The 21331-nt window shown below is 39.3% G+C and overlaps 2 annotated features.

Moving 5' to 3' along the window:
- Positions 14172 to 14756: an enhancer, noted in NCBI's record as "OCT4-NANOG-H3K27ac-H3K4me1 hESC enhancer chr18:5684410-5684994 (GRCh37/hg19 assembly coordinates)". NCBI's record gives its function as "activates a minimal SCP1, AML or CMV promoter by ChIP-STARR-seq in primed H9 embryonic stem cells {active_cell/tissue: H9 hESC(primed)}" and the evidence as "EXISTENCE:reporter gene assay evidence [ECO:0000049][PMID:30033119]".
- Positions 20547 to 21048: an enhancer, noted in NCBI's record as "NANOG hESC enhancer chr18:5678118-5678619 (GRCh37/hg19 assembly coordinates)". NCBI's record gives its function as "activates a minimal SCP1, AML or CMV promoter by ChIP-STARR-seq in naive H9 embryonic stem cells {active_cell/tissue: H9 hESC(naive)}" and the evidence as "EXISTENCE:reporter gene assay evidence [ECO:0000049][PMID:30033119]".

Here is a 21331-nt window from a genome sequence, read left to right as displayed (position 1 = left end):
CAAAACTGCATGTTCTTTCTGCACATGTATCCTAGAATGAAAAGTATAATAAAAAAATAGTAATCAATAAATGTAAATGGGTTAAACTTGCATATTAAAAGATGGAAATCTTCGGATTTGACTTAACAAGAACAAAAGTTAGTAGTATATTGTCTGCAAGAGAATGTTTTAAAAGAAGACAGAGAAAGGATGGGAAAAGTTAAAAGAAGCAAATTTTAAGCAAAAGTAATCAATATCTGACAGATAATATAAATGAAAAACATGAAAGGGACTCAGAGGAGGTGTCTGGTAAGTCAGTTGAAAGAAGAAGAAGAAAATATAGAACTCATATGCACCCATATACCTAAATGCAGCCTTAAACTATATCAAGTAACACTGACAGAACATCAGGAAGAAATGGATAAAGCAACAATTTTATTTTTCAGTGTTACAGTAAAACTATGTAAAAATATAATAACCAAAAAATTCCATATGGTAAAAACATCAAGATTCAAGAAGCTCTAAGGAAATTCTCCAAATAAATACAAAAACATATCTCAGTTATAAGTGCTGAAAAACAAAAATCAAGAGAAAAATCTTTAAGTCATCTAGAGAAAAAAGATATATTATTCTCAGAAGAACAACATTAAAATCAACCCCTCACTTCTAACGGAAACCAAAAGAAGATGCAAGGTCATAATAAAGTATTGAAAGAAAATAGCTGGCTCTCTAGAATTCTATATTCAGTGAAAATGTCCTATCCATTTTTTTACAAAAAAAAATCCACAAAAGTTTTGAGCAGACCTTTCTCAAAAGAAGATACTTAAATGGTCAATAAGCACAAGAAAAAATGTTATACACCACAGATCACCAGGAAAATGAAAACTGAAACCATAATGAGATACCACTACATGCTGCCAAAATGGATAATTATATTTTTTAAATATCAAAATTAAGTGTGCTGAGGTTGCAGAGCAATTAAAACTTTCATTAATTTTGGTGAGAATATAGAATAATACAACCACTTTGGGTAAAGTTCTGACAGTTTATTTTTATAAAACTAACTAAACATAAATCCATGTTCCAGCCATTTCATGTCTAGGTTATTTACCCAAAAGAAATGAAAACATATGTTCACCCAAAGACTTGAACAAGGATGTTCATAGCAGCTTTATTCATAAAATCCAAAAAACTGGACATAGCTCAAGTGTCCACCAATAAGAGAAAAGAATAACAAATTCATAGAATGGAATACTGATTGACAATAAAAAGTCACTAATTTCTACTGATGCAAGACCATGGATGCATCTCAAAAAACATTATGCCAAGTGAAAAAAAGCTTTACACAAAAAAACTATATACTGTATGATTTCATTGTTATGATTTTTTTCACTGTGGATAAGCTTTGTCCATTTGGATGTTCCTATAAATGGACTTATCAACAGAATAATTGTTGACCTCTATTTAGGGATATAAATGCTCAAGTATTGGGAAAGTATACTGATGTCTACAATTTACTTTGAAATGCACCCAAAATGAGATAAATTAATAAACAGATACAGAGATAGATGAATAGATATGCAAACTTTTATTGGGTAAATAAAATGTAGAATAGTAGTGACAGGATCTAGGTGGGGGTTATATAAGTGTTAACTATACTTCTAAAAATTTTCTATATGTCTGGAAATTTTTATATTTATAATATTGAAAAACTACAATATGGTGAAGATTGCTTAACTTTACTAAAAGCTATAGGAGATTTTATTATTAAATGCAAAGACATTCCATGTTTTGTCATGGAATAATATAATATGAGGATGTAAATTCTCCCCCAAATTAATCTACAAATTAAATGTAATCTTAATAAAAATTCCGGTGTATTTTTTAACTCAATAATCTTAGATTAAATTTTCTATGGAAGAACAAATATCCAAGAGTAACTAACTCAACTTTGAAAAAGAAGAGTAAAGTGTGAGAATTTGTCTAGCAGATTTCTTAAGAGATTATAAAGCCACAGTAATAATAGCATGCAATATTGACGCAAGAACAGACAGACTGGCCAAAATGGGGAGCTTAGAGACAGATCCAGATAGGCCCATGGCTCCATCATAGATGGCAGTTGTAGCCTCGTAAATCCCCTGGGAAAGGATGAGTTGTTTAGTACAGCAGTCCCCAACCTTTTTGGCACCAGGGACCAGTTTCACGTAAGGCAATTTTTCCAGACTGGGAGTAGTGGGGGGATGGTTTCGGGATGATTCAAGCGCATTACATTTACTGTGCATTTTATTTCTATTATTATTACATTGTAATATATAACGAAACAATTATACAACCTACCCTAACATAGAATCAGTGAGAGCTCTGAGCTTGTTTTCCTGGGACTAGATGGTCCCATCTGGAGGTGATGGGAGACAGTGACAGATCATCAGGCATTAGATTCTCACAAGGAGCACACAACCTGGACCCCTCACATGTGCAGTTCACAATAGGGTTTGTTCTCCTAAGAGAATCTAATGCTACTGCTGATCTGATAGGAGGCAGAGCTCAGGTGGTAATGTGAGTGTTGGAGAGTGGCTATCAATACAGATGAAGCTTCACTTGCTCACCCACCGCTCACTTCCTGCTGTGTGGCCCAGTTCTTAACAGGCCACAGACCAGTACCAGCCCATGGCCCTGGCGGCTGGGGACCCCTTGTTTAGTGGATGGTGTTTGTGATGCTGGCTCACTAACTGGGGAAAAAGGAAGCCGAATTCCTCCCTGACATCATATACAAAATGAGTACTAGATACATTAGATGTGAAACGTAAAAGCTATAGTGTTATCAGAAGACAATGCAGAAGACTGTCTTTGTGACCTAAGGACAGGGAAGGACTTCTTAGAGAAGTTCAAACCTCGAACAAACACATTCAGGTCTCCATTTCCTACTTTTCTGCTTCTGCCCCAGTACCCTGTGATCACAACTTGTCTCCAATCATATCAGCTCATGAAAACAGATACTGGAGGGTTGGATGCCATCATGTCAGTAATCCCAGTTTATAATCAGCTAAACCACTCTGCCCTCATATATATATTTTATCTCTCTCTCTCTCTCTCTCTCTCTCTCTCTATATATATATATAAATGCATATGTGTGTGTATATATATATAGATATGGACACAGGGAGTCATATATATTTATATTTATATATGTAAGTATATTATATATAATATGTATATTTATTTATTACTTATATATGAATATAAATATATATAGAAATATATATGTGTGTGTATATATATACATTTAAAACCAGAATGTCAACATTGTATATGAAAATCATATTATCTTAAATTTTAAAAACACTGGAAGGACGAACACCATAATGTGAACAACAGATCTGTTTTGTTAATGGTAAGATTATGTGTTGTTTGGCTGGGCGAGTGGCTCACGCCTGCAATCCCAGCACTTTGGGAGGCCAAGGTAGGCAGATGACTTAAGCCCAGAAGTTCAAAACCAGGCTGGGCAATATAGTGAGACCTTGTATCTTATTTTTTTAAATAAGTTAAAAAATGATAATAATGAATAAATAAAAAGATTGTGTATTGTTTGATTTTGCTTGTGTGTTTTTATGTATCTAATAAATTTTTGGCAGTGATCAGATAGTACCTTTGTAATTATGAGGAAAAACTTACATCTCCAAATGGCCAGGTAAAATGGGGACATTACTTTGGGTGGGTGGGTGACAGCAGTGTCCTAAAGGAAAAGAGGAGGTGTTAACAGGCTGCACCCACACAAAATAAAATGCTGGGCTGCAAGTTCTTTTGTATTCGCCACACTCCTGAACATCACATTAAACACTCAATAAATGTGGATGGACTTGACTTGTTTGACCCTGAAATCACATCTACTAGGACTGCAAGAGCGCCTGCCTGGAAGTGTGTACTTTTATTTGTAAAGTCTAGCCGATACACCTGCATGCACAACACACACACGCTCCCTCCTCTGGATTCTGGACAGCCTGTGAATCTGTCCTGATGGTGCACTGATCACAAGGGTTACTGGGGCTCCTTTTTTCAGAAATATCTCATTCTGCCAGTTTGTCTGTACCTGGGAGTAGAAGGAGTTTAGTTCACTGAATTAAAAATATCCCTCTACTTGGATGATCTCTCTCCTTAAAAATATATATACATGTGTTTCTATAAAAAAAAATTAAATGTCAGTTGTTGATTTTCAACTCTACGATACTTATATTTTAAGAGATCCTTGTTATCAGATTTGAAATCTGACAAGTAACTTCTAAATCAATGATTATGTGGTTAATATTGGTATAAAATATGCACCATCTTAAAGATGAGGTCCATTAGCACTGGAGGTTAGATGAATGAAGATTAATCCATATACTGATGCCTTTTTTTTACATTATTGGCTTTGTTTTTAAGTTAGGATTGGTATCCTTATGAATCTGCCTTTTGGAAGTGGAATCTGAAGAGATGCTTTGTATATATGGAGAGGTATAGAGAACTAAAAGGGGCATTACCGGATTTGCAACGTTAGGATGCTTTTTGCAAGATAGAATATCTCTCTATATTAGTCAAGCATGTTTTTGGCATCTATTTTTAAACAAGCACTGTACCAGACTCTGGTGTTTCAGGAACAGCCACATCCTGTCTTCTTTTATCTTTTGCCTCCCTCTTCCTTTCCCTTCCTCGTTCCATCTCTCTCTTCTTCTATTTCTATCCTTCTGCAATTATTTAACCAAGAAACTTCCACATGCTTAGCAATCTGCTACCTATTTTATCTGTTTTGAAAATACAAAGAATGATTCTTCTCCTGCTTCCAGGAACATGGAATCTAGTTAAAGTGACTATGGTTCTGCGCACGCACATCAAAAGTTAGAATCTAATATAAGTGCAACATAAAAACTCTATGGCATTAGGTTACAAAATAGAACAGATGTTACGAGGTAGTAGGATAAAATAGAAATGAAATAGATGGCCTATAGACAGTGGGAGAATAGGGAGATCACTCAGCTGGAGAAAGCTTTCCACTGCCCTAGCCAGTTAAACAAGTGAACATCACAGAGCACCTGGTAAGAGACAGAAATGGTGTTTATGTGAAATGAATCACACTGATCCTTGGGCAAGCTTAGATCTCAGATGGAGTATGAATGGTGGTTACTTGGCGTGGTGGCAGTGAACAGGGAAGGCACGTGCTACAGCTGGGAAAAGAGCATGCCAATCTGACTGGGACACAAGCTCCTGCAGGGAAATGCTGGACAAAGGCAGGTTTGCCGTCTGCCTCCTTTGTCTTAGGGAATGCGAATTAGAAACTGGACAGGAGCCTAGAGGAGTGTGCTGGACAACTCATTTTCAATATTGCATCATGTTTAAGTATGCCAAACAATGTTCCCAGAGTGTTCATAACTAACTTTTTCCCTGAACCCAACTTACTTGGCTATCAGAATTAAGAGGAAAGAAAATTCTCAAGGGGTCTGTCTCGGGAGAATGATGCATCAGGCCAGGTCTTTTTCACTGAGTGGCTATTGGATTCACAATTTAAACAGTTCCAATCACAGAATCCATGTTTTAATTTAATAATATGCTTTGGAGCATTTTTCCATGTTGATATAAATTGAAAACAACAAGCAGCTTACAGTAAGTGTGGGACAATATATTTTCTCCATGTCTGTACCATAAGCCTTTTATTTTTTACTTTTTATTTATTTATTTTTTGAGACGAAGTCTCGCTCTGTCACCCAGGCTGGAGTGCAGTGGCATGATCTCAGCTCACTGCAACCTCTGCCTCCTGGTTTCAAGTGATTCTCCTGCCTCAGCCTCCCGAGTAGCTGGGATTACAGACATGTGCCACCATGCTCGGCTAATTTTTTGTATTTTCAGTAGAGACGGGGTTTCATCATATTGGTCAGGCTGGTCTTGAACTTCTGATCTCTTGATCCACCCGCCTTGGCCTCCCAAAGTGCTGGGATTACAGATGTCAGCCACCGTGCCCGGCCAAGCCTTTTATTCTAGAAAACCTAGGGTAACTTCTAGAAGGTGTTAAGCAACCACAACTATTTAAAGAAGCTTACTAAATAAAAAAAAAAAAAAGATGTGTCCTATCTGACCTATCTTAGTAATATAAAGCAGTCTTGCATTACATGTCTAATTGTCTTAATGAACTTTAGGCAGTCATATTAAAAGTATCTAGAGACTTAATTAGAATATTTTATGCTCTTTTTTTTTTTTTTTTTTTTGAGCTCTGTTGCCCAGGCTGGAGATGGCACGATCTTGGCTCACTGCAACCTCTGCCTTCCAGGTTCAAGCAATCCTCCTGACTCAGCCCCCCAATAGCTGGGATTACAGGCATGCGCCACCATGCCCAGCTAATTTTTGTATTTTTAGTTGAGACAGGGATTCACCATGTTGGCCAGTCTGGTCTCAAACTCCTGAACTCAGGTGATCCACCCACCTCAGCCTCCCAAAGTGCTGGGATTACAGGCGTGAACCACCACACCAGGCCCTAGAATATTTTATGCTTTTTAAGTAAACTGAAAATTCAAGCACAAAAATACTATTGGAAATGTTCAAGTAAGTTGCATAGAACCCACTGGATATCAGTAAGTGGCCTTCAAAGTGCATATGTAAGAAGGTATGACAGCTTCACAGAGACAGGAAAGCACCATGAACTTGTAATTAGACAGCAAGCTGAGACTGTCCTGATCTGCACTGACAAAACTTTCTACACACAGTTAAATTCCTTGGAATGGGAACAGCAAACACCTTACCCATGGAGGGTACTGCTGGTCAATCATGGCACTCTTTTTGCTGAGTCTGAAGGCAGCTTCAGAGGCCTTTTCAACACAGTGCTGCAGCATACAGTACCCACTGACAAGAGACAGAATCTATATGTCATTTCTGACACAGAGCCATACCTGCAATATACAGATAGTACATTGGCAGATTAAAGAATAAATAAAAGAACTAAATTAACCCTCTGAAAGATGGCACACTGAGTCTGGTGTTACTAGTGTCTTCATTCACACACCATCTACCAACTACCTGAAGAGGACCTACATGGTGCTGGGAATACAGAAATGAAGAAGAAAGACTGAGTATCCACACTCTTGAAGCTTACTTTCTAACATAAGAATTCTATTATTCTCAACATACGCATATAATTGCAAATGAAATAATGTCAATATTTAATAGTTAAGATGGTATGGAAGATGTGCTGATGGGGAATGAAGGAGTAGTAAGGAGAGTTTAACCTATTTGTAGGTCATTTTAGGTCAAGAATGGTCAAAAATCAGTGATTTCATACTGTTTAACACATTTTTTGAGAAAGCGGTCAATGTGGCAAACCAAATCCAGCAGCGCATCAAAAAGCTAATCCACCACAATCAAGCAGGCTTCATCACTTGGATACAAGGTTGGTTCAACATATGCAAATCAATAAATGTGGTTCATCATATAAACAGAAGTAAAGACAGAAACCACATGATTATCTCAATAGATGCAGAAAAGGCCTTAGATAATATTCAACATTCCTTAATGTTAAAAACTCTCAATAAACTAAGTATTGAAGGAACATACCTCAAAATAATAAGAGCCATATATGACAAACTCACAGCCAATATCATACGGAATGGGCAAAAGCTGGAAGCATTCCCCTTGAAAACCGGCACAAGACAAGGATGTCCTCTCTCACCACTCCTATTCAACATAGTATTAGAAATTCTGGCCAGGGCAATCAAGCAAGAGAAAGATGTAAAGGATTTCTAGCACTTTGGGAGGCTGAGGTGGGCGGATCACTTGAGGTCAGGAGTTCAAGACCAGCCTGGCCAACATGGTGAAACCTGTTCTCTACTAAAAATACAAAAATTAGCTGGGTGTGGTGGCGGGTGCCTGTTAATCCCAGCTACTCAGGAGGCTGAGGCAGGAGAATAGCTTGAATCTGGGAGGTGGAGGTTGCAGGGAGCCGAGGTCACACCACTGCACTCTAGCCTAGGCAACAGAGTGAGACTCTGCCTCTGCCCCCATCCCCCCAAAAAAATAAAAGTAAAGGGCATCCAAATAGGAGGAGAGGAAGTCAAATTATCTTTGTTTGCAGATGACATGATCCTATATCTAGAAAACCCCACTGTCTTGGTCCAAAAGCTTCTTAAGCTGATAAGCAACTTTAGCAAAGTCTTAGGATACAAAATCAATGCGCAAAAATAGCTGGCATTCCTATACACCAACAAGTCAAGCAGAGAGCCAAATCATGAATGAACTCCATTCACAGTGCTACAAAAAAGAATAAAATACCTAGGAATACAGCTAACAAGAGAAGCGAAGGATCTCTTCAAAAAGAACTATAAACCACTGCTCAGAAGAAATCATAGAGGACAGAAACAAATGGAAAAATATTCCATGTTCATGGATAGGAAGAATCAGTATCATGAAAATGGCCATACTACCCAAACTAATTTATAAATTCAATGCTATTCCCATTAAACTATCACTGATATTCTTCACAAAATTAGAGAAAACTATTTTAAAATTCAATGGAACCAAAAAAAAGAGCCAGAATAGCCAAGACATTTGTAAGCAAAAAGAACAAAGCTGGAGACATCATGCTACTGACTTCAAACTATACTGTAAGGCTACAGTAACCAAAACAGCATGGTATTGGTACAAGAACAGACATGCAGACCAATGGAACAAAATAGAGAACTCAGAAATAAGACTACACACCTACAAACATCTGATCTTCGACAAACCTGACAAAAACAAGCAATGGGGAAATGATTCCCTGTTTAATAAATGGTGCTAGTCAGTTCTCCCAGTACCATTTATCAAGCAGGGAATTCTTTGAAACTTATACCACATACAAAAATGAAGTCAAGATGGATTAAAGACTTAAATGTAAAACCCAAAACTGTAAAAACCCTAGAAGAAAATCTAGGCAATACCATTCAGGACACAGGTGTAGGCAAAGATTTCATGATGAAAACACCAAAAGCAAATGCAACAAAAACAAAAATTGGCAAATGGGATCTAATAAAACTAAAGTGTTTCTGCACAGCAAAAGAAACTATTGTCAGAGTGAACAGACAACCTACAGAATGGGAGAAAATGTTTGCAATCTATTTGTCTGACAAAGATCTAATAGCCAGAGTCTGCAAGGAACTTAAACAAATCTACAAGAAAAAACAACCCCATTAAAAAGTGGGCAAAGGATATGAATAGACAGGTCTCAGAAGAAGACATACATGCAGCCAACAAACATACGAAAAAAAAGCTCAACATCACTGATCATTAGAGAAATGCAAATAAGAACCACAGTAAGATATCCTCCCATGCCAGTCAGAATGGCGGTTAATAAAAAGTCAAAAAACAACAGATGCTGCCAAGGTAGCAGAGAAAAAGGAACACTTTTACACTGTTGGAAGGGTATAAATTAGTTCAACCATTATGGAAGACAGTGTGGCAATTCCTTAAAAACCTAGAGGCAGAAATACCATTTGACCCATTAATCCCATTAGTTGGTATATACCCAAAGGAATACACATCATATTATTATAAAGATACATGCACATATATGTTAATTGCAGCACTATTCACAATAGCAAAGACATAGAATCAACCTAAATGCCCATGAACAATAGACTGGATAAAGAAAATGTGGTACATATACACCAAGGAATACTATGCAGCCATAAAAAGGAATGAGATCATGTCCTTTGCAGGCACATGGATGGAATTGGAAGCCATCATCCTCAGCAAACTAATACAAGAACAGAAAACCAAACACCACAAGTTCTCACTTATAAGTGGGAGCTAAATAAATAGATGATAATGAGACCACATGGACACATGGAAGGGAACAACACACACAGGGCCTGTGGGGTGGGGGTGGGGGAGGGAGAGCATCAGGAAGAATAGCTGATGGATGCTGGGATTACTACTTTGGTGACAGGATGATCTATGCCACAAATCACCATGGCACATGTTTACCTATGTAACAAACCTGCACATCCTGCATATGTACCCCTGAAGTTAAATGTTGAAGAAAAAATAAAAAGAAAGTGGTCAGTGTTTACCCCTGTAAGGGGGTGACACTTGAACTAATTTTCTAACAATAAGAAGGCCTACAACATTCAGATTCAGGAAATACAGAGAACACCACAAAGATACTCCTCGAGAAGAGCAACTCCAAGACACATAATTGTCAGATTCACCAAAGTTGAAATGAAAGAAAAAATGTTAAGGGCAGCCAGAGAGAAAAGTCGGGTTACCCACAAAGGGAAGCCCATCAGACTAACAGCGGATCTCTTGGCAGAAACTCTACAAGCCAGAAGAGAGTGGGGGCCAATATTCAACATTCTTAAAGAAAAGAATTTTCAACCCAGAATTTCATATCCAGCCAAACTAAGCTTCATAAGTGAAGGAGAAATAAAATACTTTACAGACAAGCAAATGCTGAGAGATTTTGTCACCACCAGGCCTGCCCTAAAAGAGCTCCTGAAGGAAGCACTAAACATGGAAAGGAAAAACCAGTACCAGCCACTGCAAAATCATGCCAAAATGTAAAGACCATTGAGACTAGGAAGAAACTGCATCAACTAACGAGCAAAATAACCAGCTAACATCATAATGACAGGATCAAATTCACACATAACAATATTAACTTTAAATGTAAGTGCACTAAATGCTCCAATTAAAAGACACAGACTGGCAAATTGGATAAAGAGTCAAGACCCATCAGTGTGCTCTATTCAGGAAACTCATCTCACATGCAGAGACACACATAGGCTCAAAATAAAAGGATGGAGGAAGATTTACCAAGCCAATGGAAAACAAAAAAAGGCAGGGGTTGCAATCCTAGTCTCTGATAAAACAGACTTTAAACCAACAAAGATCAAAAGAGACAAAGAAGGCCATTACATAATGGTAAAGGGATCAATTCAACAAGAAGAGCTAACTATCCTAAATATATATGCACCCAATACAGGAGCACCCAGATTCATAAAGCAAATCCTGAGTGACCTACAAAGAGACTTAGACTCCCACACATTAATAATGGGAGACTTTAACACCCCACTGTCAACATTAGACAGATCAACGAGACAGAAAGTCAACAAGGATACCCAGGAATTGAACTCAGCTCTGCACCAAGCAGACCTAATAGACATCTACAGAACTCTTCACCCCAAATCAACGGAATACACATTTTTTTCAGCACCACACCACACCTATTCCAAAATTGACCACATACTTGGAAGTAAAGCTCTCCTCAGCAAATGTAAAAGAACAGAAATTATAACAAACTATATCTCTGATGGTAGTTTGTATTTCTGTGGGATCGGTGGTGATATCCCCTTTATCATTTTTTATTGTGTCTATTTGATTCTTCTCTCTTTTTTTCTTTATTAGTCTTGCTAGCGGTCTATCAATTTTGTTGATCCTTTCAAAAAACCAGCTCCTGGATTCATTGATTTTTTGAAGGGTTTTTTGTGTCTCTATTTCCTTCAGTTCTGCTCTGATTTTAGTTATTTCTTGCCTTCTGCTAGCTTTTGAATGTGTTTGCTCTTGCTTTTCTAGTTCTTTTAATTGTGATGTTAGGGTGTCAATTTTGGATCTTTCCTGCTTTCTCTTGTAGGCATTTAGTGCTATAAATTTCCCTCTACACACTGCTTTGAATGCGTCCCAGAGATTCTGGTATGTGGTGTCTTTGTTCTCGTTGGTTTCAAAGAACATCTTTATTTCTGCCTTCATTTCGTTATGTACCCAGTAGTCATTCAGGAGCAGGTTGTTCAGTTTCCATGTAGTTGAGCGGCTTTGAGTGAGATTCTTAATCCTGAGTTCTAGTTTGATTGCACTGTGGTCTGAGAGATAGTTTGTTATAATTTCTGTTCTTTTACATTTGCTGAGGAGAGCTTTACTTCCAAGTATGTGGTCAATTTTGGAATAGGTGTGGTGTGGTGCTGAAAAAAATGTATATTCTGTTGATTTGGGGTGGAGAGTTCTGTAGATGTCTATTAGGTCTGCTTGGTGCAGAGCTGAGTTCAATTCCTGGGTATCCTTGTTGACTTTCTGTCTCGTTGATCTGTCTAATGTTGACAGTGGGGTGTTAAAGTCTCCCATTATTAATGTGTGGGAGTCTAAGTCTCTTTGTAGGTCACTGAGGACTTGCTTTATGAATCTGGGTGCTCCTGTGTTGGGTGCATAAATATTTAGGATAGTTAGCTCCTCTTGTTGAATTGATCCCTTTACCATTATGTAATGGCCTTCTTTGTCTCTTTTGATCCTTGTTGGTTTAAAGTCTGTTTTATCAGAGACTAGGATTGCAACCCCTGCCTTTTTTTGTTTTCCATTGGCTTGGTAGATCTTCCTCCATCCTTTTATTTTGAGCCTATGTGTGTCTCTGCACGTGAGATGGGTTTCCTGAATACAGCACACTGATGGGTCTTGACTCTTTATCCAACTTGCCAGTCTGTGTCTTTTAATTGCAGAATTTAGTCCATTTATATTTAAAGTTAATATTGTTATGTGTGAATTTGATCCTGTCATTATGATGTTAGCTGGTGATTTTGCTCATTAGTTGATGCAGTTTCTTCCTAGTCTCAATGGTCTTTACATTTTGGCATGATTTTGCAGCAGCTGGTACCGGTTGTTCCTTTCCATGTTTAGCGCTTCCTTCAGGAGCTCTTTTAGGGCAGGCCTGGTGGTGACAAAATCTCTCAGCATTTGCTTGTCTATAAAGTATTTTATTTCTCCTTCACTTATGAAGCTTAGTTTGGCTGGATATGAAATTCTGGGTTGAAAATTCTTTTCTTTAAGAACGTTGAATATTGGCCCCCACTCTCTTCTGGCTTGTAGGGTTTCTGCTGAGAGATCCGCTGTTAGTCTGATGGGCTTTCCTTTGAGGGTAACCCGACCTTTCTCTCTGGCTGCCCTTAACATTTTTTCCTTCATTTCAACTTTGGTGAATCTGACAATTATGTGTCTTGGAGTTGCTCTTCTCAAGGAGTATCTTTGTGGCGTTCTCTGTATTTCCTGAATCTGAACGTTGGCCTGCCTTGCTAGATTGGGGAAGTTCTCCTGGATAATATCCTGCAGAGTGTTTTCCAACTTGGTTCCATTCTCCACATCACTTTCAGGTACACCAATCAGACGTAGATTTGGTCTTTTCACATAGTCCCATATTTCTTGGAGGCTTTGCTCATTTCTTTTTATTCTTTTTTCTCTAAACTTCCCTTCTCGCTTCATTTCATTCATTTCATCTTCCATTGCTGATACCCTTTCTTCCAGTTGATCGCATCGGCTCCTGAGGCTTCTGCATTCTTCACGTAGTTCTCGAGCCTTGGTTTTCAGCTCCATCAGCTCCTTTAAGCACTTCTCTGTATTGGTTATTCTAGTTATACATTCTTCTAAATTTTTTTCAAAGTTTTCAACTTCTTTGCCTTTGGTTTGAATGTCCTCCCGTAGCTCAGAGTAATTTGATCGTCTGAAGCCTTCTTCTCTCAGCTCGTCAAAATCATTCTCCATCCAGCTTTGTTCTGTTGCTGGTGAGGAACTGCGTTCCTTTGGAGGAGGAGAGGCGCTCTGCGTTTTAGAGTTTCCAGTTTTTCTGTTCTGTTTTTTCCCCATCTTTGTGGTTTTATCTACTTTTGGTCTTTGATGATGGTGCTGTACAGATGGGTTTTCGGTGTAGATGTCCTTTCTGGTTGTTAGTTTTCCTTCTAACAGACAGGACCCTCAGCTGCAGGTCTGTTGGAATACCCTGCCGTGTGAGGTGTCAGTGTGCCCCTGCTGGGGGGTGCCTCCCAGTTAGGCTGCTCGGGGGTCAGGGGTCAGGGACCCACTTGAGGAGGCAGTCTGCCCATTCTCAGATCTCCAGCTGCGTGCTGGGAGAACCACTGCTCTCTTCAAAGCTGTCAGACAGGGACACTTAAGTCTGCAGAGGTTACTGCTGTCTTTTTGTTTGTCTGTGCCCTGCCCCCAGAGGTGGAGCCTACAGAGGCAGGCAGGCCTCCTTGAGCTGTGGTGGGCTCCACCCAGTTCGAGCTTCCCGGCTGCTTTGTTTACCTAAGCAAGCCTGGGCAATGGCGGGCGCCCCTCCCCCAGCCTCGTTGCCGCCTTGCAGTTTGATCTTAGACTGCTGTGCTAGCAATCAGCGAGACTCCGTGGGCGTAGGACCCTCTGAGCCAGGCGTGGGATATAGTCTCGTGGTGCGCCGTTTCTTAAGCCGGTCTGAAAAGCGCAATATTCGGGTGGGAGTGACCCGATTTTCCAGGTGCGTCCGTCACCCCTTTCTTTGACTCGGAAAGGGAACTCCCTGACCCCTTGCGCTTCCCAGGTGAGGCAATGCCTCGCCCTGCTTCGGCTCACGCACGGTGCACGCACCCACTGGCCTGCGCCCACTGTCTGGCACTCCCTAGTGAGATGAACCCGGTACCTCAGATGGAAATGCAGAAATCACCCGTCTTCTGCGTCGCTCACGCTGGGAGCTGTAGACCGGAGCTGTTCCTATTCGGCCATCTTGGCTCCTCCCCAACAAACTATATCTCAGACCACAGTGCAATCAAACTAGAACTCAGGATTAAGAATCTCACTCAAAACCATTCAACTACATGGAAACTGAACAACCTGCTCCTGAATGACTACTGGGTACATAACGAAATGAAGGTAGAAATAAAGATGTTCTTTGAAACCAACGAGAACAAAGACACAACATACCAGAATCTCTGGGACGCATTCAATGCAGTGTGTAGAGGGAAATTTATAGCACTGAATGCCCACAAGAGAAAGCAGGAAAGATCCAAAATTGACACCCTAACATCACAATTAAAAGAACTAGAAAAGCAAGAACAAACACATTCAAAAGGTAGCAGAAGGCAAGAAATAACTAAAATCAGAGCAGAACTGAAGGAAATAGAGACACAAAAAACCCTTCAAAAAATTAATGAATCCAGGAACTGGTTTTTTGAAAGGATCAACAAAATTGATAGACCGCTAGCAAGACTAATAAAGAAAAAAAGAGATAAGAATCAAATAGACTCAATAAAAAATGATAAAGGGGATATCACCACTGATCCCACAAAATACAAACTACCATCAGAGAATACTACAAACACCTCTACGCAAATAAACTAGAAAATCTAGAAGAAATGGATAAATTCCTCGACACATACACTCTCCCAAGACTAAACCAGGAAGAAGTTGAATCTCTGAATAGACCGATAACAGGAGCTGAAATTGTGGCAATAATCAATAGCTTACCAACCAAAAAGAGTCCAGGACCAGATGGATTCACAGCCGAATTCTACCAGAGGTACAAGGAGGAACTGGTACGATTCCTTCTGAAACTATTCCAATCAATAGAAAAAGAGGGAATCCTCCCTAATTCATTTTATGAGGCCAGCATCCTCCTGATACCAAAGCCAGGCAGAGACACAACCAAAAAAAGAGAATTTTAGACCAATATCCTTGATGAACATTGATGCAAAAATCCTCAATAAAATACTGGCAAAACGAATCCAGCAGCACATCAAAAATCTTATCAACCATGATCAAGTGGGCTTCATCCCTGGGATGCAAGGCTGGTTCAATATACACAAATCAATAAATGTAATCCAGCATATAAACAGAACCAAAGACAAAAACCACATGATTATCTCAATAGATGCAGAAAAGGCCTTTGACAAAATTCAACAACCCTTCATGCTAGAAACTCTCAATAAATTAGGTATTGATGGGACGTATTTCAAAATAATAAGAGCTATCTATGACAAACCCACAGCCAATATCATACTGAATGGGCAAAAACTGGAAGCATTCCCTTTGAAAACTGGCACAAGACAGGGATGCCCTCTCTCACCACTCCTATTCAACATAGTGTTGGAAGTTCTGGCCAGGGCAATTAGGCAGGAGAAGGAAATAAAGGGTATTCGACTAGGAAAAGAGGAAGTCAAATTGTCCCTGTTTGCAGACGACATGATTGTATATCTAGAAAACCCCATTGTCTCAGCCCAAAATCTCCTTAAGTTGATAAGCAATTTCAGCAAAGTCTCAGGATACAAAATCAATGTACAAAAATCACAAGCATTCTTATACACCAACAACAGACAAACAGAGAGCCAAATCATGAGTGAACTCCCATTCACAATTGCTTCAAACAGAATAAAATACCTAGAAATCCAACTTACAAGGGACGTGAAGGACCTCTTCAAGGAGAACTACAAACCACTGCTCAAGGAAATAAAAGAGGATACAAACCAATGGAAGAACATTCCATGCCCATGGGTAGGAAGAATCAATATCATGAAAATGGCCAGACTGCCCAAGGTAATTTACAGATTCAATGCCATCCCCATCAAGCTACCAATGACTTTCTTCACAGAATTGGAAAAAACTACTTTAAAGTTCATATGGAACCATAAAAGAGCCTGCATCTCCAAGTCAATCCTAAGCCAAAAGAACAAAGCTGGAGACATCACACTACCTGACTTCAAACTATACTACAAGGCTACAGTAACCAAAACAGCATGGTACTGGTACCAAAACAGAGATATAGATCAATGGAACAGAACACAGCCCTCAGAAATAACGCCACATATCTACAACTATCTGATCTTTGACAAACCTGAGAAAAACAAGCATTAGGGAAAGGATTCCCTATTTAATAAATGGTGCTGGGAAAACTGGCTAGCCATATGTAGAAAGCTGACAGTGGATCCCTTCCTTACACCTTATACAAAAATCAATTCAAGATGGATTAAAGACTTAAACGTTAGACCTAAAACCATAAAAACTCTAGAAGAAAACCTAGGCATTACCATTCAGGACATAGGCATGGGCAAGGACTTCATGTCTAAAACACCAAAAGCAATGGCAACAAAAGCCAAAATTGACAAATGGGATCTAATTAAACTAAAGAGCTTCTGCACAGCAAAAGAAACTACCACCAGAGTGAACAGGCCACCTACAAAATGGGAGAAAATTTTCACAACCTACTCATCTGACAAAGGGCTAATATCCAGAATCTACAATGAACTCAAACAAATTTACAAGAAAAAAACAAACAACCCCATCAAAAAGTGGGCGAAGGACATGAACAGACACTTCTCAAAAGAAGACATTTATGCAGCCAAAAAACACATGAAAAAATGCTCACCATCACTGGCCATCAGAGAAATGCAAATCAAAACCACAATGAGATACCATCTCACACCAGTTAGAATGGCAATCATTAAAAAGTCAGGAAACAACAGGTGCTGGAGAGGATGTGGAGAAATAGGAACACTTTTACACTGTTGGTGGGACTGTAAACTAGTTCAACCCTTGTGGAAGTCAGTGTGGCAATTCCTCAGGGATCTAGAACTAGAAATACCATTTGACCCAGCCATCCCATTACTGGGTATATACCCAAAGGACTATAAATCATGCTGCTATAAAGACACATGCACACGTATGTTTATTGCGGCATTATTCACGATAGCAAAGACTTGGAACCAACCCAAATGTCCAACAATGATAGACTGGATTAAGAAAATGTGGCACATATACACCATGGAATACTATGCAGCCATAAAAAATGATGAGTTCATGTCCTTTGTAGGGACATGGATGAAATTGGAAATCATCATTCTCAGTAAACTATTGCAAGAACAAAAAACCAAACACCGCATATTCTCACTCATAGGTGGGAATTGAACAATGAGAACACATGGACACAGGAAGGGGAACATCACACTCTGGGGACTGTTGTGGGGTGGGGGGAGCGGGGAGGGATAGCATTGGGAGATATACCTAATGCTAGATGACAAGTTAGTGGGTGCAGCGCACCAGCATGGCACATGTATACATATGTAACTAACTTGCACATTGTGCACATGTACCCTAAAACTTAAAGTATAATAATAATAATAATAATAAAAAGAAAAAAAAGAAAAAAAAAAAGAAGGCCTAGGCATGTAAAACGACCCAAAATAGAGTAATCTAGGCAAGAGAAGTGTGGAGATGATGAGGCAGGAATACGCAGCATTGAGAGGTAGATGGGCCAAATGACTGAGTTACAGAGTACCAAAGAGAGCTGAGTAGGAGACACAGCTGACTAGATGGATAGAGGCAAGGCCTCTGCAGTTGTGATGGTTAATACTGAGTGTCAACTTGATTGGATTGAAGGATACAAAGTATTGATCCTGGGTGTGTCTGTGTAGGTGTTGCCAAAAGAGTTTTACATTTGAATCAGTGGGCTGGGGAAGGCAGATCCACCCTTATTCTGGTGGGTACAATCTAACAACCTTCCAGTGAATATAAAGCAGGCAGAAAAACGAGAAAAGGAGAGATGGGCCTAGCCTCCCAGCCTACATCTTTCTCCTGTGTTGGATGCTTCCTCTCCTTGAACATTGGACTCTAAGTTCTTCAGTTTTGGCACTCGGACTGGCTCTTCTTGCTCCTCAGCTTGCAGACAGCCCATTTTGGGACCTTGTGATCCTATAAGTTAATACTTAATAGACTCCCCTTTATATATAATATATGTATACATCCTATTAGTTCTGTTCCTCTAAGAAAACCCTGACTAATATAGCAGTCTTAGGTAAGGGGTATGAACTTCCTTTTAGGTACATTGGATGTTTTAAATGAGAGAGTCATAGGATCTGATAAAAAAATTATTAAAGATGGCCCTGGCTGCTGTATGAGGAATAGATTTAAAAAAGCATGGAAGCAGGAAGATGGTTCAGAAAAGTACTGAAGAATTCCAGGCCAGGGATGACAGTGGCTCGAACTAGGAAGGCAATGGAGAGGCAGGTAAGGCTGGCTGGATTCAAGGTACATTTTGACAATAGAGCTGACCAGCCTCATGATAGTAACAATAAAAATTATAATAGGAATAAGCATAAGCAAAACCCATAAACAAGTATTTTTCATCAAATACTTGATATATGCCAGGTCTGTTGCTAAGCATTTTGCATATATTTATTTTAATTTATCCAAAAATCCTATAAAGTAGTTAACTATTATTAGCTATACTCTGCAGTTGAGGAAACAACTCAGAAAAATTAAGTATCTTCTCCAAAAACATATGGTAACTAAGCGATGAAACTGGAATTCAGCATAAATGTGTGTGATCAAAAGCAGAAGTTCTAGACTATTCTAAGTCCTCAGCATCAAATCAGAAGTCTATGAGGTGTTTATCATATGTAACAAACACATAAATGGGGAGAATGAAGTCAGATAAATTTTCATAGAAGGCACTCCAGAAGTGAAGAAGGGTTGGAGGGAAGGACAGTAGCGTCGGGAACTAAAACAAGAGCTTTAGCAAAGTCCTCCTTCATTCCACCAGCTAATGAGAATGGAACCCTGAAGCAAGTGTGGTTCATGAAGCTTACAGCCTTTGATCTGCTAGTTCCTGGTTCAGTGATACCTAACTAAGCATCAAGATGTTTCTTTTCTTCATCAACTCTTTCCCACCCTATAAATGTGCATTGATTTGCTAATCAAGCAAACATATACTACATTCAGATACAGCCTCTTACCCTACCATCTACTGACCCATTTTCTATAAGACTTAAACTTACCCAGACATGAAATTTAGTCTCTTCCCTACTTTCATCAGAGTTGGCAGGAAAGCATACTAAAATTTAAAGGAAGACCACAATTACCACCAACAACATGCTGTAATATATCCCATTGATTTGCCTTCAATCTCTTTTTGCCCCTGTACACTTCCAGGGGGTTGGATCCAGGCTTATTCTGGGTGAGCATGCTCCTTTATTCAACAGGAGGAATATGTTGAATTTAAGAGAGTTTACAACAAGAGATATAAACAAGAAAAAAGATCACTTGAAATAGGTAGCATAGTTGCAGTGTTTAGTGGAACCAAGTTATCAAAGAGAACAGTTACTTTTGCATAAAAAAAGAACAAAAAAGGAAAGGCTCTTCTTTATCAGAGGCTTTAGGCCTCCTAATGGGTGGCAGGGCTACAGACGGTGAAAGATGCTGAAAACACAGCGGTGGCTGAATATGCAAGAAGCCCAGAGCTGCCCACAGTGCAGAGAGGACTGCAAGACCCTCTCCCTGCCTTCTCTGTAGTAGTTTCATCTTTGGATTTAAAGGACATGTTATAGTCAGTTCTTAATCCATAACTGGCTTATCTCCTGTATGAGTGAGCTACTGTCACCTGCTTTGCACTATTCAGGAGCTGACAGTAGGACCTGCCTTGGAGGGGAGACTAAGTGGAGCTGGGGTTAGTACCTGAGCATATGCACATGGCTGTATCCCATAGTCTACGAGTAATGTATCAGGCTATCTCCTTGAGTAATAGATGCCTTTGTCCTTCAAGAAGAGTGGCATTCAGCAGTGATATTTACATATAACTGAATATAGTCCTTCTTTTAACATTTATTTGCAAACCTAGTGCCACTCTGTTGGGATTAGAGAGAACTGTTTTGTTAAATTGCTCCTCTGTTGGTGTTTCCGATAAATCTGACTTCATATGAAAAATAATGTGATCACCAAACTATCTTCCCATCAAGACTCCAGGTTCCATGCCAGTTTTACATGTTCACATCAGACAGCAAAATTAATTAACTCACAGCATTCAGAGGTCTGGGAACTTGATGAGTCAAGGGTCACGGAGAACTCAAGAAAACCTTGATTATAATGAAATGTTAACAGCTAGAGATACATCTGAACAGGAAAGATCAATGTGACACTGCAGAGGCTCATTCTCTAATTGCCTAGTGGAGCAGCAAAATGCTCCATAAATGAAAGTGGCAGCACACAGACATGATACTGGGAATGTTGCTTCTAAAAGCAACCGGAAGGTGCAAGGCAACAGAGGCTGTTAAGCAACATGGGTTTTTACCTCTGTCCTATTGCTGACCGAGGCACTTGGGCAAGGCACTTATCCACTCAGCATGAGCTTCTTCATGTATAGGAACATGCATAAGTCAATCTAGTGATATGCAACCATCAATTACAATCACACTGCAGCAAGTCATTGACCTTTATATGCTAGGTTGTAGGAGCTTGTGAAGAATGCGGCTTCTTTTTCAGTTGTCTGTGATTTTTATAAAACCAAAAAGAACATTTTAGTCTGAATCATCAAAGGATGTGCCTTCCCTCAATTGAGAAAGAATTGCAATGGAGGTGGCACCATAACATTAATCCCAAATAAAGCCTCTTCATGCATGTAATCGAGACCAATTTGCCCCCTACTTTTGTAATGATGGGGGAGAGGGCTGCAGTGAGATTAGCTGTAGCAAATGATTCCTGAATAAACCTAGGTACCCACTTATAGCCCTGGAGTCAGCTCTGATGTGTAGTGACAGAAATTCACGAGGCTTACGGTAAACATCTGCTGCTTCTAATGGAAACATCT

Source organism: Homo sapiens, chromosome 18 (assembly GCF_000001405.40).
Source record: "Homo sapiens chromosome 18, GRCh38.p14 Primary Assembly".
Lineage (NCBI taxonomy): Eukaryota > Metazoa > Chordata > Mammalia > Primates > Hominidae > Homo > Homo sapiens.
Note: the sequence above shows the minus strand (reverse complement) of the source record. Positions and strands in the feature narration are given on the sequence as shown.